Raw genomic sequence first — 24,576 nt, forward strand, 5'->3', positions numbered from 1 at the left:
TCAATTGTGCTTTTGTTTTACTGCTGAGTAATATTACATTGTATGGATACACCACAAGATTTGTTTTTCCATTTCCCTGTTGAGGTTTTTTTTTTTTTTTCATTTTTGGCTATTATGAATAAGTCTGTTAGGATTGTTTTTGTGTAAGACTTTGGGTTTTTTTTTTGTTTGTTTTTTTCTTTTGTAAATATGGGATCTCGCTATGTTGTCCAGGTTGGTTTTGAACTCCTGGCTTCAAGTGATTCTCCTGCCTTGGCCTCCTAAAGTGCTGGAATTATAGGCATGAGCCACTGCACCTTATATGTACAAGTCTTTGTATAGACACAGGCTTTCGTTTCTCTTGGGTAAATACCTAGGAGTAGAATTGCTGGATCATGGAGTAGGTGTATGTATAACTTTTTTAGCAACTGCCAAAAACTTTTCCAAAGTGGCCGTGCCACTTAGCATTCCCACAGCAGTGTGAAAGTTCCTCTGATTCTCCAGCTGTTTTTAGAATTTCTTGGGGGCCCTGCTTTACTTGTTGCTTTCTAAGCCACCTGTTCTCTGAGCTGGCAACGCTTGGCTGATACCCTCCCAATTTCCTCTGTTAAAATATTATCTTCACAAGATATTTTATTCCTTTCTTGATAGTGATGGGCTGTGAGCCCATCACTATTTTACTTTGCTTCTTTGCTCTCTTAAGAGTTTGATTTAAAAAACATTTTTTTGTTTTTGCTTTTACCAGTTTTCTCTAGTACAGAAATCCTCTTAGGCTGGGCACAGTGGCTCATGCTTGTCATCCCAGCACTTTGGGAGGCCGAGGCGGGTGGATCACGAGGTCAGGAGATCGAGACCATCCTGGCTAACATGGTGAAACCCAGCCTCTACAACAAATATAAAAAATTAGCCGGGCGTGGTGGCGGGCACCTGTAGTTAAAAAAAAAAAAAAAAAAGGAAATCCTCTGCCCGGGTGCTGTGGTTCACGCACTTTGTAATCCCAGCACTTTGGGAGCTGAGGCAGGGGGATTGCTTGAGCTTAGAGATTCAAGACCAGCCTGGGCAACATGGTGAAACTTTGTCTCTACGAAAAATAAAAAAATTAGCTGGGCGTGGTGGTGCGTGCCTATAGTTCCAGGTACCGGGGAGGCTGAGGTGGGAGGATCATATGAGCCCAGGAGGTCAAAGCTGCAGTGAGCCATGATCACACCACTGCATTCCAGCCTGGGCAACAGAATGAGGCCCTGTCTCAAAAAAAGTGATAATAATAATAAAATAAAAAATAAATTCCTGGGTGTTTTTTTTTTTTTTTGCCGTTTTTTAAACCTTAAACACAGCTAACTGTAGAAAAGTCAGAAAGTATAGAAAAAAATTGGAAAGGTCACCGATCATCCTACTCTAGGGATAATCACTGTTAGGATAGACTTTTTTTTCTTTTACACATAGATATTTAATTTTAAAGAATTTGAGTGAACTAAAATTAACTTTGTTGTAGATTTGGGGACTTTAGTGAAAGTTGGGCCAATAGAGGATGTCGGGGAGCAGAACTTCCCCTCTTCTCTCTTGGGGTCCTGGTGGGGTCTGAAAACTAAATTGACATAGGTAAATAGAAGAGCATACACATTTAATAAAAGTTCTATGTGACACGGGAGCCCTCATAAACAAATGAAGACCCAAAGCAGTGGCAAAACATACATGTGTTTATATGAGGTTGAACAAAGAGAGGCATTTGTGGGAAAGTAACCAAATTATGTGGGGAGGCTAAAGGAAAGTAAGCCTTATTTTAACAAGGTCTGTTTGTACAGAATTTTCTCTGCTGTTACTCTCCATTGAAGAGTGTTTGTTTTCTCATGGTACAGGGAGGGCACCTTTTATTTTATTTTGTATTTTATTTGTATGGATTTAGGGGGGAGAAGTGCACTTTTGTTACATGGATCTATTGCCTACTGGTGAAATCTGGGTTTTAGTGTAACCATCAACTGAACAGTGTAAATTGTTCCCACTAAGTAATTTCTGGCTGGGCAGTAATCCCAGCACTTTGGGAGGCTGAGGGGAGTGGGGATATCTTGAGCCTGGGAAGTTGAGGCTGCCTGGGCCACATGGCAAAACCCCATCTCTACTAAAAATGCGAAAAATTAGCCGGGCAAGGTGGTGCGTGCCTGTGGTTCCAGCTACTTTGGAGGCTGAGGTGGGAGGACTGCCTGAGACTGGGAAGTTGAGGCTGCAGTGATCCATAGTCACGCCTGTGTACTCCAACCTGGGTGGGTTGACAACTTGTCTCAAAAAAAAAAAAAAGTAATTTCTCATCCCTCACTCCCCACCCACCCTCTTCCCCTTCCCTTCTAAGCCTCCAATGTCTGTCATTCCGCACTGTATGTCCATAGGGAGGGGGTACCTTTTACATGGGAGTTTTCGTCTCCTGAAGATGAAGATGCCCTTCTTGCATCTGCTGTTTTTCAAGTGTCTTTAGTTTGATATAATACTATGTCAAAGTGGCATATTTTGGGGCGGCATCTTCAGCCAGCCTTCAGGGGCCTCTAGGGATTAAAAATAGAGTTCAGAAGCCAGCATATGAAACATTTTCCCTTTCTGCTACTTGTTGGCAATGCTGCTTCCCTCTGGTTTAAGAAACTTTCTGGGAGACTTGTGTCACCCCAGTTTCTGCCTTTATTTTTCGCAGGAATGGCTGGGTTCTATTTTGATATGAGTAATTTTGGAATCAGAATTGAGAACTGGGCCCCCTTCCTCCTGACCCCAACAGGGATCTCTTGCCAGCTGCCCCCAACAGGGATCTCTTGCCAGCATCTTCCTGACAAACCTCTGTTCCTTGCTGTCTCACTCTCTCGAGGGACAGCTGGACAAGTGTCAATGAGTTGAGATTGTTAGAAGGTTTTTCTTCTCCAGCCAGCAGCCTTCCCAAAGACCTGACCTACTTAGCAGGCAGATGGATCCTGTAAAAACAAAACCGGGTCACATCCCTCCTGGGCTTGGAAAGAATCCTTCAGTGCCCCCGACCCCTTCTTCCTCACCCACAGAATTGGAGCCAAAGTCCTGAAAGTAGCCTTGGAGGTCCTGCCTTCCCCACCCTGAGTCCCTGCTGTGTGCTGCACCCGGGTCCCCCTCCTGGCTGTGAGCCCATCACTATTCCAGTTTCTTTCCACTGCACAAGGTAGTTGTTCAGGCCCCTCCCTGAAAGATGTGTTGGTTCTTCAAGATTCACAAGCAAATCATGCCTGTGTGTGCATTGCAGATAGCTCACTTACATTAGATTTGATATGAGAAAGTCTTTTTTTTTTTTTTTGAGACGGAATCTTGCTTTGTCTCCCAGGCTGGAGTGTGGTGGCGCAATCTTGGCTCACTGCAGCCTCTGTCTCCCGGGCTCAAGTGATTCAAGCTGAGGTTACAGGTGTGCGCCACCATGCCCAGCTAATTTTTGTATTTTTAGTAGAGACGGGGTTTCACCATGTTGGCTAGGCTGGTCTCGAACTCCTGACCTCGTGATCCACCCGCCTTGGCCTCCCAAAGTGCTGGGATTACAGGTGTGAGCCACCGTGCCTGGCCTATTTTTTTTTTTTTTTTTGAGACAGAGTCTAGCTCTGTCGCCCAGGCTGGAGTGCAGTGGCACCATCTCAGCTCACTGCAGCCTCTGCCTCTCAGGTTCAAGCAGTTCTCCTGCCTCGGCCTCCCTAGTAGCTGGGACTACAGGTGTGTGCCACCCCACCTGGCTAATTTATTTTATTATTATTTGTATTTTTAGTAGAGATGGGGTTTCACCATGTTGGCCAGGCTGGTCTCAAACTCCTGACCTCAGGTGATCTACTCACCTCGGCCTCCCAAAGTGCTGGGATTACAGGTGTGAGCCACTGCACCAGTCCAAGATAGTCTTAAAAAGCAATGTTTTTGTCTTTTCTAAGAAAGGGCCCTGATGGTTTGCCCTGCGTTACACTCCCAGGCAGGCACAGAACCGATGTTAAACTCTCCATTTTATCACATGAACCCTGCCCAGTGCCCTACCCATTCCTCCCACGCCAGGCTCATGACTGCATGTCAAGCACAGTTGTGCCAGGTGTCTACCTGCTCCATTTCTCCTCCTCCCAGCAGCCCTGCAAAGTGCCCGCCAATTTTCTCTCCTGTTTTGAAGATGCGAAAACTAAAGCAGAGAGCCACAAGGTCACTCACCTGGTAAGCTGCAGAACTGAACAAAGTGTGCTTGTGAAACTTTCTGTTTGTTCTAAGGAGACAACTGTGGGTGGGTGGACTCTGCTGGAGGCTGTCCCTTGCCTGGCTGGCAGCAACCAAGCCTTCTGCTTCTGACTTGCTGGGGAGCGGGAGGACGGGAAGGGCTGTCGGTGGGGAAATTGGAGAGAATACAAAACCTCCCCTCAGCTTTAATAGGCTCTACCAACAGTTTTCACTTTGCCTCTTTTCCTTCTCTGGTATAGCCTTCCTCCTCTTTGGTGAATGCAGATTCAGAGCATCTCTAAAATCTACTCTGTGTTACTTCTGAGGAGAATTCGGGATTTTATTTTTTCTGGAAAAATGAAAGGATTTTCATTCTGGTTCCCTTCTGGTTCCGTGTGGTGGGGCACCTCACTGCCTGAGGTCACTGACCTCTGAGCCCTTCTTGCCACTCCAGTCATCTCTGCCCCACATGGACACACTCAGCCGCCTGCTGGAGTTTGTGTTTTCCGTGGTTGGAGGGAGGCAGGAGGGCAGTTGAAAGCGTGCTGAGTGGGGAGATGGGAGCAGGGAGCTGTGAGAAGGAGAGAAGCTAAGGTCAGATTGCGTGCGTCATTCATTCATTCCTTCACTCACTTGGTAGATGTTTATTGAGCGCCTGCTGTGAGCTTGGCACCTGCTCAGGTCAAAAGGGTGGCTGAGTCCTCAAGGGCCCTGCTGTCCTATGGGGACAGTTCCAATACAGTGTGGTCATTACCCAGTGGAGGAGTAGGGAGGGGCGTGGGGCAGGGAAGGAGAGAGCTCAGTCCGGAGAGTCTGGGAGGCCTGGGGAAGAACTCAGGAGGTTTTGTGAAGTGCAGTGTGTGGAATGTGGGTGTCTGTGAGGAGAGTGGTTTTATCTTTTTATGAATTCACTGTGCTAAGGCCTGGAAGAAAACACCTTTCCTAGAAAGGGAGGGAAGGAAATGAACTTTTATGGGGCACCTCTGTGCCAGGAGCAGAGGTAAGAGCTTACATGATCTCACTTAATCCTCACCGCTACCCTGTGAGATGCATTTATTGTCACAGCCCATTTGGTGGGTGAAGAAGCCACAACGATGCCCGAGGTCAGATCTGAACCCAGTGCTTATACCAAAACCCACTGTTTACAGTTCCACTGCAGGAGGGAGGCTGTGGACGTGGGGAGGAAGGTCTTGCCGCTGGGACCCACCAGGACTGCAGGGTGGTCCTTAGGTTCAGCAAGAGTGGACCCGAATTCTGGGGCTAGTGATGCTGTGATTCCTGATCTGCTTGCTGTTTACCAGGAGTGCTTACTTTGTGAAAAATTATTGCGTTGTAAACTTAACAATATTTGGGCTTTTCTTTATGTATGCATCACTAAAAATGTTTTTTAAAAAACTATACTCTCTAGAAAAGGACAATGAGGTAATGGTTTTGGAAATCATAAAATGTTTTTGTTGCTTGTCTTATCTAAACTGATTACCAGTTGTGTGTATAATAAATGCTAGCTCTTCTTTATTTATCTATTATTTTTTTTTCTTGTAGAGACAGAGTCTTACTATAGCCCAGGCTGGTCTTGAACTCCTGGGCTCAAGCAGTCCTCCCGCTTCAGCCTCCTAAAGTTCTGAGATTATAGATGTGAGCCACTGTGCCCAGCTGCGAGCTCTTCTTTATACTTGAGTTTAGATTGCCAGATTTAACAAATAAAAATACATTTGAATGTCAGATAAACAACAAATAATTTTCAGTATAAATATGTACCATGTGATGGTACTTACACTAAAAATACTTGTTTATCTGATATTCGAATTTGCATGGGACAGTCACTAAAAATTATTTGTTGCTATGCTTAAATTCACGTTTTAAGGCTGGGCATGGTGGATCACGCCTGTAATCCCAGCACTTTGGGAGGCCAAGATGGGCAGATCACCTGAGGTCAGGAGTCTGAGACCAGCCTGGCCAACATGGTAAAACCCCATCTCTACTAAAAATATAAAAATTAGCCGGGTGTGGTGATGGGCACCTGTAATCCCAACTACTCGGGAGACTGAAGCAGGAGAATCGCTTGAACCTGGGAAGCGGAGGTTGTGGTGAGCTGAGATTGCACCACTATACTCCAGCCTGGGCAACAGAGTGAAACTCCATCTAAAAAAATTAATAATAATAACCAACCCCCCGCCCCCCCCCCCAAAAAAAGCACATTTTACTGGGCATCCTATATTTTATCTGGCAACCCTAAATTAAGCTGAGACCTGAAGGGAGTAAGGAGTACAACTGAGCCTTATTTGAGAGATCAGAGAATTTCCAGGCCAGATGGAAGGAAATAATCCAGTAGAGAAGCAAATTGGTGGAGGATGTCGGATGGGGTATTCTAAATTGCTGGTGGGAAAACTGAACTGATGTCAAGAGTGGGTATGTGGAGTGACCTGGAAAGGGAGAAGCGATATGAATGTTGCACTACTCAGCCTGCATGATGGGGTCAAGACACTTTCTGCTGGAGGTTGACATTTGTTTTAGTAGTTTATGTTGATGCAAAGATCCTGGGAAACATGCATGATTTTGAGCCTTTTCACAAGGAAGGGTGATGTTAAAAGTGAGCTAACTTGAGAAACTGGCTTCAAAATCTGGGCCAATTTGAGCAACAAAATAAATAATGGTAGAAGGGTATTGTAACCCAGAGAATAAAATAAATATCCACAAGTCCTTAATGATGATATAAATACATAAGTGGGGAGAAGGGAAAACTTTTGTACAGAGGATTCCATTAGTAAAATGTAGAAAGAATGATGAAAATGAAGAGGTCAGCATTTGGAAAGACCACTGTAATAGTTGTTGCTGTCAAGAATCATCAATGGGGCTGGGCATGGTGGCTCATGCTTGTAATCCTAGCACTTGGGGAGTCCAAGGTGTGTGGATCACTTGAAGTCAGGTGTTTGAGACCAGCCTGGCCAACATGATGAAACCCTGTCTCTATTAAAAATTAGCTAGAAATCGCTTGAACCTGGGGGGCAGAAGTTGCAGTGAGCCAAGATTGCACCATTGCACTCCAACCTGGGCAACAGAGCAAGACTCTGTCTCAAAAAACAAACAAAAAGAATCATCAATGGATGCTGCATAGTGGGCAAAAATATGATAAGGAATCTCAAATATTTCTTCATAAAGCTCTTGCGCTAATTCCAAAGAGAAAAAGAGTAATTTTACAGTGGAGAAATCTGGCCAATACCACCTTAACTAAGTGATCAAGTTAACACCAGCAGTAAAATGTTCTATTCTGCATGTTGACATCATGTACACCCATGTATGATGTACTGAGGAGGGTACACCATCACTCCTGGGACATTCCTGCCAAAAATGCATATCCTCAGTCTGATCATGAAGAAACATTAGGCAAACCCCAGTTCGGGACAGCATGCAAGATAATTGGCCTATACTCTTCCAAAGTACCAAGGTCAAGAAAGACAAAGACTGAGGAGCTGTCCCAGGTTAAAGGAGACCAAGAGAGACAACCACTAAATGCAGTGGATTTAGTTCCAGGATTGAATTCCTCCCTTCCCCTCCCCTCCCCTCTCTTTTTTCCTTTCCTTTTCCCTTTTCTTTCCTTACAGGGTCTTGCTCTGTTGCCAGACTGGACTGCAGTGGTGTGACCATGGCTCACTGCAGCCATGAACTCCCAGGCTCGAACAATCCTCCCACTTCAGCCTCCCAAGTGGCTGGGTCTACAGGCATGTACCACCACACCTGGCTAATTTTTTAAATCTTTTTTATTTTATGTAGAGACAGGGGTCTTACTCTGTTGCCAGGCTGGTCTTGAACTCCTAGGCTCAAGAGATCCTCCCACCTTGACTTCCCAAAGTGTTGGGATTATAGGTGTGAGCCACTGTGCCTGGCCAACATTTTCATTATTATAGAAACGTTTCTATTAGGCAGTGCTACTCTAGAATATGATTTTTAAAAGTTGTGTAGTATTTACTTAACTTTACCTCTGCATTGGTTATTTATATTTTCTATTTTTCGTATTTAAGTGTTTAATATTTTGATGAGTAGTTTTGTACATTCTTTCTTAAACAACAGCATTTAATAACAGGTATACTTCACATTACCGTAAATCCATCAATTGAAATTGTGCAATTCAGGCTGGGCGCGGTGGCTCACACCTGTCATCCCAGCACTTTGGGAGGCTGAAGTGGGTGGATCAAAAAGTCAGGAGATCGAGACCATCCTGGCCAAAATGCTGAAACCCCGTGTGTACTAAAAATACAAAAGTTAGCCAGGCATGGTGGTGCGTGCCTATAATCCCAGCTACTCGGGAGGCTGAGGCAGGAGAATCACTTGAACCAGGGAGTTGGAGGCTGCAGTGAGCCGAGATCACACCACTGTACTCCAGTCTGGCGACAGAGCGAGACTCCATCTCAAAAAAAAAAAAAAAGAAATTGTGTAATTCACTGGTTTTTAGTGTATTTGCAGAGTTGTGCAACCATCACCACTATCTAATTTTAGAAGAATTTTATTATCCCAGAAAATAAACTCTACTCCCACTAGCTGTCACTCCCTGCTCCGCTGTCCTCCAGCCCTGGGTAAACAGGAATCTACTAGCTGTCTCTGTGCACATCTATTTTGGGGAGAATTTTAAATTATTTTCCTTAGGAAAAATTCTGTTAAATTACAGTAGTCTGCCCTCATGCGTGAGGGATATAGTCCAAGACCCCCAGTGGATGCCTGAAACTGTGGGTAGTACTGAACCCTATACACACTGTGACTTTTCCTGTACACACATACCTATGATAAACTTTAAATTACATATCAGGCATGGTAAGAGATGAACAAATACAATTATAAAATAGAACAATTATAGCACAATTATAGCAGTTCACTGTAATAAAAATTACGTGAATGTGGTCTTTCTCTTTCAAAATATCTTGCTGTACTATACTCACCCGTGTTTTGACAATGGTTGACTGAGACTGAGGAAAGGGGAGACTGCTGTATGGGGTCAAATAGTGTGAACTTTTTTAAAGGAATTTTTTTTTTTTTTTTTTTAAACAGAGTCTCATGCTGTCACCCAGGCTGGATTGCAGTGGCATGATCTTGGCTCACTGCAACCTCCGCCTCCCAGGTTCAAGCAATTCTCCTGCCTCAGCCTCCCAAGTAGCTGGGACTACAGGCGTGGCTACTGCACCTGGCTAATTTTTGTATTTTTAGTAGAGACAGGGTTTCACCATGTTGGCCAGGCTGGTCTGGAACTCCTGACCTAAGGTGATGATCCCGCCTTGGCCTCCCAAAGTGCTGTGATTACAGGCGTGAGCCACCGCACCTGGCCTTTTAAAGGTTTTTGATGCATCATGCCAAACTGCCCTCCAGAAAGGTTGTCCACGTTTATGCTTCCATTAAGAGTGTATGAGAGAGCCCTTTCTCTACACCTCGGTGACACTGTTATCATCCTTATTTTCCATCTTTGTCAATCAGGTTAGTGACAAGTGGCATCCCCTCTTTGCATGTGACTCCTAGCAAGGAACACCTTTTTGAATGCTGCTTGGCCATTCCTATTTCGTATTAGAGTTGAGAAAGCTCATCAGCCTCTGTGTGGAGAGACTCGAAGTTAAGACCCTCGTGAGGAAAAAGGAAGACCAGACAGAAGGGTATAACCAGAGGCTGCAGGCTGGGCTGCCCTGGCGATAGCTGGAGGAGAGCTTCATGTAGGAGTTGGGGGTGGGGTGCAGGACTTGCTCAGGGGTACTTTGAGCTCCTTGTTTCCCTGTAGAGTGGAGGCCAGGAATCATTTAGGCCAGGGAATAGTAGTGTCCTTGGGCAAAAGTATACCTACGGGCAGTCTGGCAGGGCAAGCTCAAGCTCACAGTGATTGGGAAATTGCATTAGAAACTTCCTTTCCCACTGTGATGAAGTAAGGCCATCGTTGGTTTTGAGGCCATGTGTGTTTTAATGGCAAGTTCAGAATGAAAAAAAGTAGGCTGGCACAATGACCCTATGGCCCATAGTGGTCTTAAGTACTTCCTTTGTGGCTTGGTGATGGCTTTACCCATTGACGTGAGAGCTGCAGAGTGTGTGAGGGAGAGGGCAGAGGCAGGGGATGTCCAGGATGCCAGGTAGGATGCAGGGTGTTGCGTTATCTACATCTGTGGTTCTCGTCCCTGGCTGTGCACTAGAGTCAGCTGGAGAGCTTTGGCCTTACCCCCAAAACGGGACCCTGTCTCTGGAGGTAGTGTTGGGCATTCGCACATCGATTCTGTACAGCCAGACTTGAGAAGTGGGAATTTGATATGCGTGTTAGTCAGGAGCCCAGCAGCAGCCACCCCTGGAGATCTTTTGTGAGCTTTTAGAGTGGCTGGGGGAAGACTGTTGCTGTGATCATTGGTCTAGCTCTGTCCCAAGGACTTGGCTCCTCTTCAGAACCTGCTGATGCCCAGAGCTGTCCAGGTACACAGGCAGCAACTTTTGGCCAAGAAAGAGCCTTGCTCAAGCTGTGTTTGGGATAACTCATAAAATTATGTTCCAGGCTGATCTTTCTAGCATCCCTGCAGATGCTGACTGGATGCCCTGACCCTTGCCCCAACCCCTTTCAGCATACAGTAGGTGGTTCATAGCTATGTGATCTTGCATGATGTCTGGTGGTGTGGTGGGGGCACTGCTCTGGGAGGCCTCCCTTCTTCACTGAGAGGGAAGTGGCACAAAATAAAGTCGAGATGTGAGACGGGGGTAGGAGCAGGGCCACATTCATTGGCTAGCCTGGTAGAGCCTTTTTATTTAAAAGCTTTCCATCGGCCAGGCGCGGTGTCTCACGCCTGTAATCCCAGCACTTTGGGAGGCCGAGGTGGGCGGATCATGAGGTCAGGAGATCGAGACCATCCTGGCTAAACAGTGAAACCCCATCTCTACTGAAAATACAAAAAAATAAAAATAAAAAGAAATTAGCCGGGTGTGGTGGCGGGCGCCTGTAGTCCCAGCTACTCAGGAGGCTGAGGCAGGAGAATGGCGTGAACCCAGGAGGCGGAGCTTGCAGAGAGCCAAGATTGCGCCACTGCACTCCAGCCTGGGCGACAGAGCGAGACTCCGCCTCAAAAACAAAACAAAACAAAAAAAAACTTTCCATCACAACAGGAGATGCTGACTTGGTCGTCACCCTGGTTGGCTGCATCCTCAGCCTGGCTGTGGACAGGAAGGAGGCAGGAATTGTCTTCTAGCCAACTGTCTTGCTAAGGGTGCTCTGCTATCTTCCTTTTTTTTTTTTTTTTTGTAAATGCTGCCTTTGCTGGGAGAGTGGAGTAGGTGCCCCCCAAAGTTCAAATTGTTTTTCGGCTTTGGGTGTGCAGAAGATGATTTAATACCAATTCAGGGTAACTTATTTCACGTGGAAGGCTGCCCAGGCCAGGCAGGGTTGTATCTGCAGTTGACCAGTTTTGCCGTATGTTAATGGTTTTCAGATAATCTTCCTGGAACCACTGCAGGGGGCCAGGACAGCCTAGGAGGCAGAGTGGTCTCTGTCCCACCCTAAATCATAGTGATTTCTCTTATGTGTGTTATATATAGTTGAGGTTCCATTGATACTTTTTAAAAGAAAAGTTTCTACCCATTTAAACCATTTGAGAACCACTGTTGTGCACAGAGAAAGTTAGGTCAGCCTGATTTTTATATATAGCTCACTGATGCCATTAATATGGAGCCTAAACAAACAAGAAATGCCGAGTACCTCACACTCAGTAGATGCCGAATAAGCATGGAACACAGTTGTGTATGTGCCTCTGCCTTTCCTGTCTCTGAGCCTTCATTTACCTAGAACACCTTCCTGCTGACTCTGGTTTTTGAATGTGTTCAGTGCTTATTTGGCATCTACTGTGTGTGAGGCACTCAGCATTTCTTGTTTGTGGGATCCTTTGGGGTTTGAATATGCCCCCCACAGTTCAAGTGTTGGAAACTGAATCCCCAAGGCAACAGTGTTGAGAGGTGGGACCTTTAAGAGGTGATTAGGTCATGAAGACTCTGCCCTTGTGAATGGATTAATAATGGTATATCTGGAGCGGGTTCCTGGTAAAAGGATGGATTTAGCCCCCTTCCCTGCTTTCTCTTGCACATGCTTTCACCCTTCCATGATGCAGTAAGAAGGCCCTTGGCAGATACGGGCCCTTCATCCTTGGACTTCCCAGCCTCTAGAACTGTAAGAAATAAATGTCTGCTCTTTATAAATTACTCAGTCTCGGGTATTCCATTATAGTAGCACAAAATGGATTAAGATATGGCGATACTAAAATATACAGCCAGAGCCCTGCCCTGGCTTATTTGGCTCAGTAAGCTTATTTGTTTGACTAATATGAGGAGACATACACTGCTAACCCTACCTAGTATAAAATCATAAGCCACAAAAGAGAGGTGGGAGAAATGTTTGAGTAATCCTTGGTGGATCATTGCCTCCTGCTGCACATCTTTTAAAACGGGAAACTGTCCCTTGTTTTTGCCCTTTCCTGTGAGAATATTATGATTTTTAAAAGAATCTTGTATAGCCATTTTGGAAAACAGTTTGGCAGCTTCTTATAAAACTGAACATATTCTTGTTGTATAATCCAGCAGTCACCGTCCTTGGTATTTACCCAAATGAGTTGAAAACTTATGTCCACACAAAAACCTGCACACGAATGTTTATAGAAGCTTATTCATAATGACAAAATTTGGCAAGATGTCCTTCAGTAGATGACTGCATCAATAAATGGTTGTATATCCAGACAATGGCATATTATTTAGCACTAAGAAAAAATGAGCTATTGAGCCATGAAAAGACATGGAGAAACCATAAATGCATGTTAGTAAGTGAGAGAAGCCGATCTAAAAGGCTGCAGAGTGTATGATTCCAAAGATACAACATTCTGGAAAAGGCAAAACTTTGGAGAAAATAAAAGGATCAATGGTTGCCAGGGGTTTTTGGGGAGGAACAGATGAATAAGTGGAGCATAGGGGATTTTTAGGGCAGTGAAATTAGTCTGTTTGCTACTGTAATAGTAGATACATGCCATACACTTGTCCACACCCATAGAATGTACAGCACCCAGAGTGAACCCACACATGAACTGTGGACTTCGGGTGATAATGATGTGTCCATGTAGGTTCCTCATTTGTGACAAGTGTACCACTCTGGTGGGGGCTGTTGATAGGGAGGGGGGCTGTGCATGTGTGAGGAAGGGGATATATGGAAATTCTCTGTAGCTTTTGCTCAGTTTTGCTGTGAACCTAAAACTGCTCAAAAAAAAAAAAAAGTAAATTCATTGAAAAAATACTGGAAGGAAATAGGCCAAAATGATAAATATCATTTTTTAAAAATAATTCCCACTGAAGTCTGTTGGCCTATTGACTATTAATGATCTTTCAAAAATCCACTGTGCTCCCCCACCTCCTTTGGTGTCCCCGAAGGAGAGGCCCTGGGCACACAAACACCTTCTTCTGGGGCCACTCCATGCCCAGGGTTCCAAGGGCCACATTTCTCTGTGCGTAGGGGTGGGCTTGGCCTTCATCTCCTAGCTGCAGCCAAGAAGGAGCTATGCTGCCATCACTGAGCTGGGATTTGGGGATTCGCTGGTGCCCCAAAACCATGAAGATACTAAGTTTTAGGGATAAGTAGAACCCCTGGACCTTTTCTTCCCCGGTACTCCCTTAGCCCCTCTTATAAGTGCAGTAGGATGGACTGGAAAGGATATAGATAAGTCAGCCTGATTTTGCGCATTAGATTTAATCTTTGAACTTCAGTTTCTTCATGTATAAAGTGATGATGTTTTATAGAATTGTTGTTAAATGAAGAAACACATATAAACTGTCTAGCACCGTGTTGGCACTTGTGATGTTTAATAAATGCCCATTCTAGGCTAGATGTGGTGGCTCACACGTGTAATCCCAGCACTTTGGGAGGCCAAGATGGGAGGATCACTTGAAGCCAGGAGTTCAAGACCAACTTGGTCAACATAGCGAGAACCCGTCTCTTTTTTATAAAATATAAAATGAAAAAGCCCATTCTAAAGATGGAGCATCAGGGACTGGATGAACCTCCTGCCTAAAACAACCAAAAAAAAAAAAAAAAAAAGGCCAGGTGCGGTAGCTCATGCCTGTAATCCCAGCACTTTGGGAGGCCGAGGCGGGTGGATCACTTGAGGTCAGGAGTTCGATACCAGCCTGGCCAACATGGCGAAACACCATCTCTACTGAAAATACAAAAATTAGCGAGGCATGGTGTTGCACGCCTGTAGTCCCAGCTACTCAGGAGGCTGAGGCAGGAGAATCGCTTGAACCTGGGAGGCGGAGGTTGCAGTGAGCCAAGATGGTGCCACTGCACTCCAGCCTGGGTGACAGAGTGAGACCCCATCTCAAAAAAAAAAAAGAAAAAAGAATATATGAACCAAAGGTTTTCAAGACACTGGACATCAAGAAGGTGATTCTTGAGAGATAGGAAGCAAATGAGGTGAGCCCAGTGACAGCCCCAGCTAATTGCCTCGAGAGAATTTCCAGGCCTTGGCACAGGGAGGGAGAAGAGAGGCAGAACCTGGTGGACTCCCTGAGTTGAAAAGGAGCTGAGAGTCTATGGGGACCAAGGCAGCTAGTTTGTAGGACTCTAGCAAAACCTTTGTGAAGCAATATCTGATAAAGAACTTGTATCTAGAATGTATAAGAAGTTCTCATAACAGTAAGAAAAAAAACAGGCAAAAGATTTGGGCGTCTCACTAAAGAAGAAAAGGATGACAAATAAGCAGGTGAAAAGATGCTCACACACAACATCAGTTACTAGAGAGATGCAGATTAAAACTACAATGAGATGCTACTGTATAACCTATTACAATAGAATGGATAACATTTAAAAGACTATTCATGCCAAGTGTTGGCAAGGATGTGGAGAATTTGGAACTCTAATGAGCTGCTGGTAGGAATGTAAAATGATATAACTTCTTCAGAAAGCGGTTTGTCAATTTCTTAAACAGTTAATCATCCACCTACCATAAGACCCAGCCATTTCACTCCTAGGCCTTTACTCAAGAGAAGTGCAAATGTATGTCCATTACAAACGCTTGTACACAAATCTTGATGGCATCTTTATTTGTAATAGCCTCAAACTGGAAACAACTTATGTGCATCAACAAGCAAATGGATAAACAAACTAATACATTCATATGGTGGAATACCACATGGCAGTAAAGAGGAATGAGCTCCTGCTGCATGTAACAGCATGCGTGAATCTCAATTTATATTGAGTGAAAGAAACCAGATAAAGTACATAAACCAGATAAAGTACATACTCCAGATTCCATTTATATAAACTAGAAAAGACAAGCTAATCTGTGATGACAGAAAGCAGATCAGTGGTTGCCTGGGGAGAGGAAGAGGAAGCGGGGAGGGATTGCAAAAGGCATGAGGACATGGGGAATCTCTGGGGCAGTGGATTTGATCATTGTCTTGATTGTGGTGATTTCACAGGTGTATAGAAATGTCACAACACGGGGCTGGGCACGGTGGTTCACGCCTGTATTCCCAGCACTTTGGGAGGCCGAGGCGGGCAGATCATGAGGTCAGGAGTTCAAGACCAGCCTGACCAACATGGTGAAACTCTTGTCTCTACTAAAAATACAAAAATTAGCCAGGCCTGGTGGCACGTGCCTGTAATCCCAGCTACTCAGGAGACTGAGGCAGGAGAATCGCTTGAACCCAGGAGGCAGAGGTTGTAGTGAGCTGAGATCACGCCACTGCACTCCAGCCTGGGTGACAAAGAAGACTCTTGTCTCAAAAAAAAAAAAAAAAAAGAAAAGAAAAGAAATGTCACAACATACTGATACAGAAGCAGGGAAGAGAAGTGCTGGGTAGAGGAGGGCATGGTCCCTGGCTAGGGCTCTATACCAGGGACCTAGGTGAGGACAGGCACTTCTGCCTTTGCACCCAAATATTGCATTTTCCAAAACCACCCCAGCCTGCCTTGCTCCCATCCTGGGCCTATAAAAACCTGAGACCCTAGCAAGGCAGAGACAGAAGCTGCTGGACGGCGAGAGGAACACATCAGCGGAAGAAGATACAAGCAGCTGGATGGCGAGAGGATGCCAGGAGCACACCGACAGACGCCACCACACTGGCAGGCCATCAGCCGGCAGAACGAGGCAGAGTTTGGCTGGGGCAGTCGGAGGAGAGCCTGTATGCTCCCCTAGAGGTTTGAGCAGGGGGGCACTGAAGAAGCGAGCCACACTCCCATTGCACACCCTGTGAGAGGGACAAGGGAACTTTTCCCATCATAATACCAAATTGCACTCTTTAAATAGGTACAGCTTATTATATGCTACTTATATCTCATTAAAGCTGTTTTATAAGAAGATTGCTTGGGCTACAATTTGGAGAATGGGCTAAAGGGGCAGTAAGTCTAATTGCAGAGGAAAAATGCCCATCCCTTCCTCTCTTCTCCTAAAAGTGTATCCCTTATTCCTCTCACTTCCCTTCTGGTTTTTGAGCTTGGTTGTTACAGTAACATGTGATGATATTTTTTCTTTCCTCTGTTGGGCATTTCTTTAAAATCCTGTGGCATGGGGGGCCCTGGCAAAGCCAAGGGAGGCTAAGAGCCTACTCTTTTTCTTCTTGTTGAGCCTGAGCCTCTCCTCAGCCCAGACCACTTAGTGAATGTACAGGTGAGATTGGGCAGCTCACCACCAGTGGTGGCAGGGTCTGGTTTCTACAAGGGCATGGCCACAGTGCAGTCACCCTGCTCCCTATCCCATAGCCAGCGTCTGGAGAGGGGCTGGCTCCAAATGAGTGAGAGGGAAGTGTTTGTGGGGGGAACGATTGGTTTCCTGAAGGGCAATCAGAAGGCACGCACCTGCAGGGCCCCTCACAGAAGGGCAGGAGGAGCTGCGGGTTGCCCCCCAGGGAGAGGCCTTGTGATTGAGGTCCCAGTCAGAAAGATGGTCGTGTGTGCAAGGGACAAGGTAGAATGGGAGGTGGGCCAGGGTGGGTAGTAGGAGACTGGGGGCAGGGCTGGTCTGGGGTCTGAATCCCTGATGAGGTGATATGTTATGGGGTGAGGAAGGAGCTCCCCTCATGATGGGGGGGGTTGGGGGGCATGTGTGGCAGGAATAGCCACAGCTGCCAACCAGATAGTCATAATGAGACCTTTGAGTTGGAACTGGGGCTCAGATTCCCTCTTTCAAACCTACCCACTGTGCAGACTTCAGTAAGTGACAGGACCTTTCTGGAACTTGGGTTTTAGACAGGAGATGGCAGCAGCTCCTTCACTGGTTGAAATCCCCAAGTCTGGCTAGGTGCGGTGGCTCACGCCTGTAATCCCAGCACTTTGGGAGGCCGAGGCGGGCGGATCACCTGAGGTCAGGAGTTCCAGACCAGCCTGGCCAGCATGGAGAAACCCCGTCTCTACTAAAAATATAAAAATTAGTCAGGCATGGTGGTGCACAACTGTAATCCCAGCTACTCGGGAGGCTGAGGCAGGAGAATAGCTTGAAACCAGGAGGCAGAGGTTACAGGTAGCCGAGATCGCATGCTGCACTCCAGCCTGGATGACAGAGTGAGACTCTGTCTCAAATAATAATAATAATAATAAAAATCCAAAGAAAAAAATATCTGTGAGTCCATACTGATATACTGCACTCCAGCCTGGCGACAGAGTGAGACTCTCTCAAAAAAAAAACAAAGAAAGAAATCTCCAAGTCCAGGGTCTGGCCCATAGTAGACACATGATTTCCTAGAATGTGAAATGCAGTTTTTTTCCCTACCTTTTCTGTGTAGGAAGTACTTTTAGATCCATTTAGCCACAAGGATGAAATCTTTTCCTACCTACTTGGCTTCTTATGGGGTCTTCCTCACTCTGTGACCCATGGTTTCAAACACAGGTGGCTTCCTTGTTTTGTATCTGTGCTAGGTGGTCACTGGTCACGGTGGAGAGAAAGGATGTCAGCAGCCCGAAGGACTCAGCTGCAGGAACAGAAAGTGAGGGACAGCTGAAGGCAGAGGGTCACAGCCCTCAGAGAGAGGAAGCCAGAAGAGAGTGTAGCTGAGCAGGGTGTGGAGAGAGGGGAGGAAGCCCTGCCGTTGAGAGATAAAGTGGCAGGAAGTCCAGTGGGGCACTGGCTGTTGTCAGAGCATCCACGTGAAGACGCTGGCCACCCTGCCAGCATCTTATGAACAGGGGTAGGAGAGGGTGCTGGATTTCATTCCCCAAACCCAAATAAGATGCATTTGCTTCTGCCGTCTGGGCCAGCAGCATTGCACTGACACGTGCAATTCATTTCACCTTTCCTTTTTGGTGAGCTGTCTTGCAGGACGGTCCTCTTCATGTGCTCATGCTGTGGGTGGTGGAAAGGGTGGGCATGCCATGCTAAGCTGCTGAGTCCCTGTGCCCCTCTGCTGTTTGTAGCCAGCATTTTACAGGAGGTTAAACAAAGAGGCCACAGCATTTGGGAGTGGTTTTACACCACGTTTGTGAGCAGAATTATATTCACAAATGCACTGCTTTAACATTACATGTAGCCTGCTTCGAGTGTGCTTAGTTGATGCCTGACAAACTAGCTTTTGTTGCTCATTGTAAAGGCTTAGAGTCAGGTCCACCAGGGGACTTACGATGGGTAATCTGGAAGTGGACTTCGGCATTACCAAACAATAACCTAACTCATATCTTGACATTTTGCCATGGCCTGATATTTGGCATTTTTCGGAAAGATTTCTCCCCCATTGTCACATTTGAATTATGTCATCGCCAGTTCCCAATAGATGTCCATAGAACCCATTTCTCTGTGTTTAGGTCTGCTGAGGGGATACTAAGTGCACTCTGTCTGTGGCTGGGGGTGTTCAGAGATGAATAAGACCCTGGGCCTTGGAATGAAGTGCTTGTGGGGGAACAGACATGTGTGCCCAAGATACAAGGAAGCAGGTGCCAGGTAAGGAAGAAAGAGGAAAGGACTGTGCAGGGAACTATGTGGAATGTGATTCAACTCACACTTGTTTCCTTGAGCACTTGCGGAGGCCACAGTTAAGACATGGCCCTTATTCTGAAGGCACTTGCAATTCACTAGGAGAGGCAAATGCCCAGGTAACTAGCAACTCACCACAGCATGGTAGGTGCTGTGCCCAGTGGCAGATGCACCACCACCATCACTTCCACATTTGCCCCGTCCCAAATACTAGAGGCCCCACTTGGCTCGGCCTGGTCCAGTGGTCACTGTGCATGGGCCCCTAGCAGCAGCCGCGACACCACTGCTTTCCAGGGTGACGAGACCGCTTAAAGGAGCCTTAAAGATGAGTGGTGATGCCTCAACCCTGTTGGGTTTATGCTTTGCTGCTAGGTGGGCCCCACAGCTCCATGTGTGCCAGCAAAAGAAATGCAGTTTGCCCGGAACTGTATTTTCTACCTTGAGAGCATAAGGTACCTAAGTTGTATATAAAAATCATTAGACAGAAAGAAATGCTGATGCCTCTGAATTACTTGATGCTTTCAGTTTCATACTGGTGGGGGCTCCCTGTTGACTTTGCTGCTTGCAAGGAACAGAAATGCCAGCTGTCCAGTAATCTCATCCGCCCGCCACCCTCCCCTCCACAGGCACATATACATGCACACACATGCATTTCATGGCCATTAAAGAGAAGATGGAAGGGAGAAGGCAGGCAGGAACTTTTTGGGGGTGTTGGAAATATTCTATATCTTGATTTGGGTTTGCTTTACATAGATCATTTGTCAAAACTCATTGAATGGTAGACTTACACTTTTTGTGTCTGTTTGTGAATTTTACCCGGAAAAAAATAAGCCTAAGCAAATAAATGATGAACTCTAGTTAATGATGGGGAGGCTGAAGTGTTTGGGGTGAAGTTGCTGCCTGCAACTTTGAAATGCATCAAGAATGGGATGGATTGTTGGATTGATTGAGGAATGGTTAGCAAAACATCAATTATAGAATTGGGATGGTGAGTATGTGGGTACCCTCTGTATAATTCCTTCAACTTTTCTGCGTGTTTGAAAATGTTGAAACAGAAGAAGAACTGCAGATAACCAATACTTGTGCCCTCTTGAGCTTTCTATAAATGAATTTCTCCAATGGTCAATGTCTTGTCTGTTTCCTACAGACTGCTTCACCCTGCTTCCTGGTGTTGGCAGAGGGGCTTTCTCCTTAAACCTGTTGGTGTGGGGGAATTTCATGAAGGATGTGTTAGCTTGGACTTCCTTTGATGGTGATGCAGTTTATCAACTTAAAATGATATGAACTCTGAAACACAGGGCTTTCTACCCTGTGGGCAGAAGGCTGGGGATTTGCAGCCTGAGAATAGCCCTGGCAGATTGGAGCCAGAGTTAGAAAAGGATGCCTGAGCTCCTCCTGACCAAAGGATGCCAGCTGGCTACCTTGCTGGGTGCTAGGGGAGCAATTGATATTTATAAAATCTGTGAAGTTGATTTTTCAAAAATTTTAACATTATATAATGTATTTGAACATATTCAAACACTTTTTTGAGACGACCTTTTAAAATCTGTAAAGTAATGAATGCCTGCTGTCTTATAAAAAACTACAGAAAATGTAAAGAAATAAGGCCAGCTACAGTTTTACAACATAAAGAAACCACTGTTTATATTTTAATATATTCCTCCGTGAATCTTTTTTCATCTTGTGCATTGTTTACATAATTGTGCTGTCTTTCATTTGACTGTAATGGGGGAGTTCTTTGGGAGGGAGACTCCAAGGCCTCCTTGATGTGGATGGGCCCGGAGCCTGGGCTGCTACTGTAGGGGTTCTGGGCTGGCCTAGCCTGAGAGACCTCCAGCCTGTTCACAGAGCCCATGTGAGATCCCGAGAGGCCCAGAACTTCTTAGACAGCTCTTTTTAAGCTGAAGGCACTTTTTGCAGGAGGCAGTAACATGATTGTCATCCTTATAATTTGCCTGTTAATTGAGCATTTCCCAAGTATGGGGCCCTGCACTAAGTACTTTGCACATATTCTCTTAACAGTAACCCTACGAGGGGGCCACTGTTGTCCCCATTTTCTAGCCCAACATCGGAGTTTAATTAGTCTGCGCTTGTCACATAGCTAGTAAATTGTGGAGCTGTTTTAGACCAGGTGTCCCAATAAGCACTTTGTAGTTGAGGCATGTTAACTCTTTAGAACTTTTTGGTTTTCAAAGCAACTCTTAATTGCTGCTCCTGGGAATATGCAGGGCAGATGGAAGGAACCTCTATTTCCTAATTAAGAAACGGACACCCAGAGAGCTGATCACCATTAATCCAAACTACAGGAGTCACGGGTAGGTGGGAGGCTCAAGGTTAGAACCTGGCTCTTCAAATTTGTTTTTTCAGGCCAGGCGCGGTGGCTCATGCCTGTCATCCCGGCACTTTGGGAGGCTGAGGCAGGCGGATCACCTGAGGTCAGTAGTTTGAGACCAGCCTGGCCAACATGGTGAAACCCCATCTCTACTGAAAATACAAAAATCAGCTGGGCTTGATTGTGCATTCCTGTAGTCCCAGCTACTTGGAAGGCTGAGGCAGGAGAATCACTTGAACCCGGGAGGCGGAGGTTGCAGTGAGCCGAGATTGCACCACTGCACTCCAGCCCAGGTGACAGAGTGAGACTCTGTCTCAAAAAAAAGTTCTCTCTCTCTCTCTCGATGGATGATCTCCCTATGTTGCCCAGGCTGGTGTTGAACTCCTGGCCTCAAACAGTCTGAGGAAGGAATCGTGGGGCAGGCTGAGATGAAAGCCTCAGGACTTGAGTGAACAGAAGGGCAGGAGTAGAATGTACTAGGTAGGGGCCCATCAGCAAAGGCTGGGCTAAGACCCTGTGGGACTTGTTAGGGGGTGAGGAGCTGCTGGTAGAAGGGCAGGGAAGAGCACTTGCTTGCAGTCTGACAAACCCAGGGCTTGGGGTGTGATATACTTTTTGTAAAAATTGAGGTTACTAAATCCTAGTTGGTGGTTCCCACTGAAAATTAAAGGAAATAATTTAGTTGGAATTGTCTGGCCAGGCATGGTGGCTCACACCTGTAATCCTAGCACTTTAGGAGGCCGAGGCGGGAGGATTGCTTGAGCCTAGGAGTTCAAGACCAGTCTGGGCAACATATCAAGATCCCCGTCTCAAAAAAAAAAAAAAAAAAAAAAAAAAAAGGGAGGAAAAAAGAAATTTCCCAACCTGCATGCTTGGCATATTATAGTGATGGTGCAATCTTTCTGAACTGTCTTACAAACAGTGGGAACCTTCGAAAGCTTTGGGTGGGGTGAGGGAGGGAGTTGACCAAGCCCAGGAATTCTGGACATTAGCATAACAGTGGGGCAGGGAAAGTGGGACCTAAAGTCCAGCCTGGTAGCTGTTTTCTGCAGTTGAAAGAGTGACAGAGGGAGAGGGAGAGAAAGACACTTCAAATGAGTCATCCACTGGATTTGGTGGTGGGCTGGCCATGGGGAGGGATGGTATTATGCTTTGTTCATTGGCTTTTTTATGACTCAGTTTACACTGGTTCCCTCCTGACTCACTGATGTTTCTCTTGTCCTGCAAGGAGCCTGTGTGAAATGCAGCAAAGGGGTGTTTGGGGCTGGCCAGGCCTGTCAGGCCATGGGGAACCTCTACCATGACACATGCTTCACCTGTGCAGCTTGCAGTAAGTGTGGGTGTGGGTGTCGGGTGTGTGGGGGATGCGTAAGGAACATGGGAACCGAGAAAGGGAGGAGAGAGATCATCTTTCTGGAGACGGTTGGTCCATGGCCCTCCTCAGCCCCACAGAAAAGCCAGACAGTGTCTTTTACAGCAGGGTTTCTTACCACCAACAGAAGCCCATCAGGGCACGGTGACTTAACACAATACCAAAGATTGCCTGTGATTCTGGTGATAAGTTGAATGAGTTCAGAGTGATCCCTAATCACATCAGGTTTGAAATATGTAAGAAGAGGTTTCAGAAGATTTGGGAGGAAGTGCTGGGATTCACCATGTCTACCCTGTTTGTCAGTTCTCTCCCCCACTGTGGGGACCAGCCAACCAAAAGTGATTAGTCAGTCAGCTACCCCAGTGTGAGGTGGAGGTGGGGGTCCTTTATTACTCTGTAACCACCTCCCTAACCTAATCTTTGATTTGGAGGCTGCTGTATGAGCATGAGGTGTGTGTGCATGCCACCCATGTGCTGGTGCCTACCTAGCACACACCTGTGGGCATCTTTGTACTCCAGTACATGCATTATAATTCAAGCAGCCCATCAGGAGTCTGGATTGAATGGATGGCAACCGCTCCCCGTGGAAGATTCTAACACATTGCATGCTTGCCAAGTCTGACCAAGTTATGGATTTTGCTTGTTTTCTGTCTCTATCAAAGATTAATTTTGAGGAGTATTTTTGGAAAATGTCCTACTTATATTCTCAATCCTATACTGAGGCTAACAGCTCTCAACTAAAAGGGAATGTTACAGCAGAGTCACAGGGTGTCAGGAACAAAGGGGTCTTTCTAACCATCTGGCCCCGTGGTTTGCAATCCTGGCTGCTCATTAGAATCACCTGTGGAGACTTTAAAACCCTGCTAATCAGAATCAGAGCTAAATCCTAATCTGATAGGATTAGCTAGGAACCTCAATCTGATTCTGCTAATCAAGGGTGGGGCCAGGGCATCACCCTTGGAATTTCTAGAGTGAGGCAAGTGTATTAATTTTTTTTTTTTTTTTGAGACGGAGTCTCGCTTTGTCACCCAGGCTGGAGTGCAGTGGTGCTATCTCAGCTCACTGCAACCTCCGCCTCCTGGGTTCAAGCGATTCTTTTGCTACAGCCTCCCGAGTAGCTGGGACTACAGATGTGCACCAGCACGCCCAGCTAATTTTTGTATTTTTAGTAGAGACGGGGTTTCACCATGTTGGCCAGGATTGTCTCGATCTCTTGACCTTGTGATCCACCCACCTCGGCCTCCCAAAGTGCTGGGATTACAGGCGTGAGCCACTGCGCCCGCCCAAGTGGGGCAAGTGTATTTTTTCACAGCTTCTCAGATACTTCCAGGGTGTGATCAGGGCTGACTACCATTGGTTTGGGGATCCTCATTTTGAATCCTTCTGGAGAAGGGAAGGGGAAGAACTTGCTCACAGCCAGAGATCCTAATTCCCAGTATAAAGTTAACCAGTGCATTGTGGTTAACCAGTGGCCTCCTAACCTGCTGAGCCTTGATGGTCCAGGCCTGAGTTCTGAACCTCATGCTTCAGTCCTCACTGCAATTTGCCTTAGAACACATGCCTGAGAGTTTATGGTTTACACATTGATCAGTGTTCACCTGTGTAGGGAAAGACTATGAGAATGTCCGCAGTGGAAATCTAGGAGTGGTCTGGTTATCGAATTCTCTGGGTCTCTGTGCCTTTCCTTGTCTTTGAGCTATGTTGCACTCTGTAAGTTGTAGAATATTGATGGTACAACACATTCTTGTCTATAGCAATGCAGACTGTCTGGTGAGGTG

General features: G+C 46.0%; 1 protein-coding gene across 1 annotated transcript in view, besides 2 other annotated features; it reads left to right on the top strand.

Annotated features, from left to right (window-relative positions):
* The window catches only part of LIMD1 (LIM domain containing 1), a 91,591-nt gene that overhangs the window by 18,745 nt on the left and 48,270 nt on the right, over positions 1-24,576 (top strand). The window contains exon 2 of the mRNA NM_014240.3: positions 22,655-22,756. Within this exon, the coding sequence (NP_055055.1) occupies positions 22,655-22,756 (102 nt within the window). The remainder of the gene's footprint in view (positions 1-22,654; positions 22,757-24,576) is intronic.
* Positions 1,633-1,732: a silencer, noted in NCBI's record as "silent region_14285". NCBI's record gives its function as "represses an Ori minimal core promoter by ATAC-STARR-seq in GM12878 lymphoblastoid cells {active_cell/tissue: GM12878}" and the evidence as "EXISTENCE:reporter gene assay evidence [ECO:0000049][PMID:35858748]".
* Positions 16,472-16,973: an enhancer, noted in NCBI's record as "H3K4me1 hESC enhancer chr3:45671459-45671960 (GRCh37/hg19 assembly coordinates)". NCBI's record gives its function as "activates a minimal SCP1, AML or CMV promoter by ChIP-STARR-seq in naive H9 embryonic stem cells {active_cell/tissue: H9 hESC(naive)}" and the evidence as "EXISTENCE:reporter gene assay evidence [ECO:0000049][PMID:30033119]".

Source organism: Homo sapiens, chromosome 3 (genome assembly GCF_000001405.40).
Source record: "Homo sapiens chromosome 3, GRCh38.p14 Primary Assembly".
Taxonomy (NCBI): domain Eukaryota; kingdom Metazoa; phylum Chordata; class Mammalia; order Primates; family Hominidae; genus Homo; species Homo sapiens.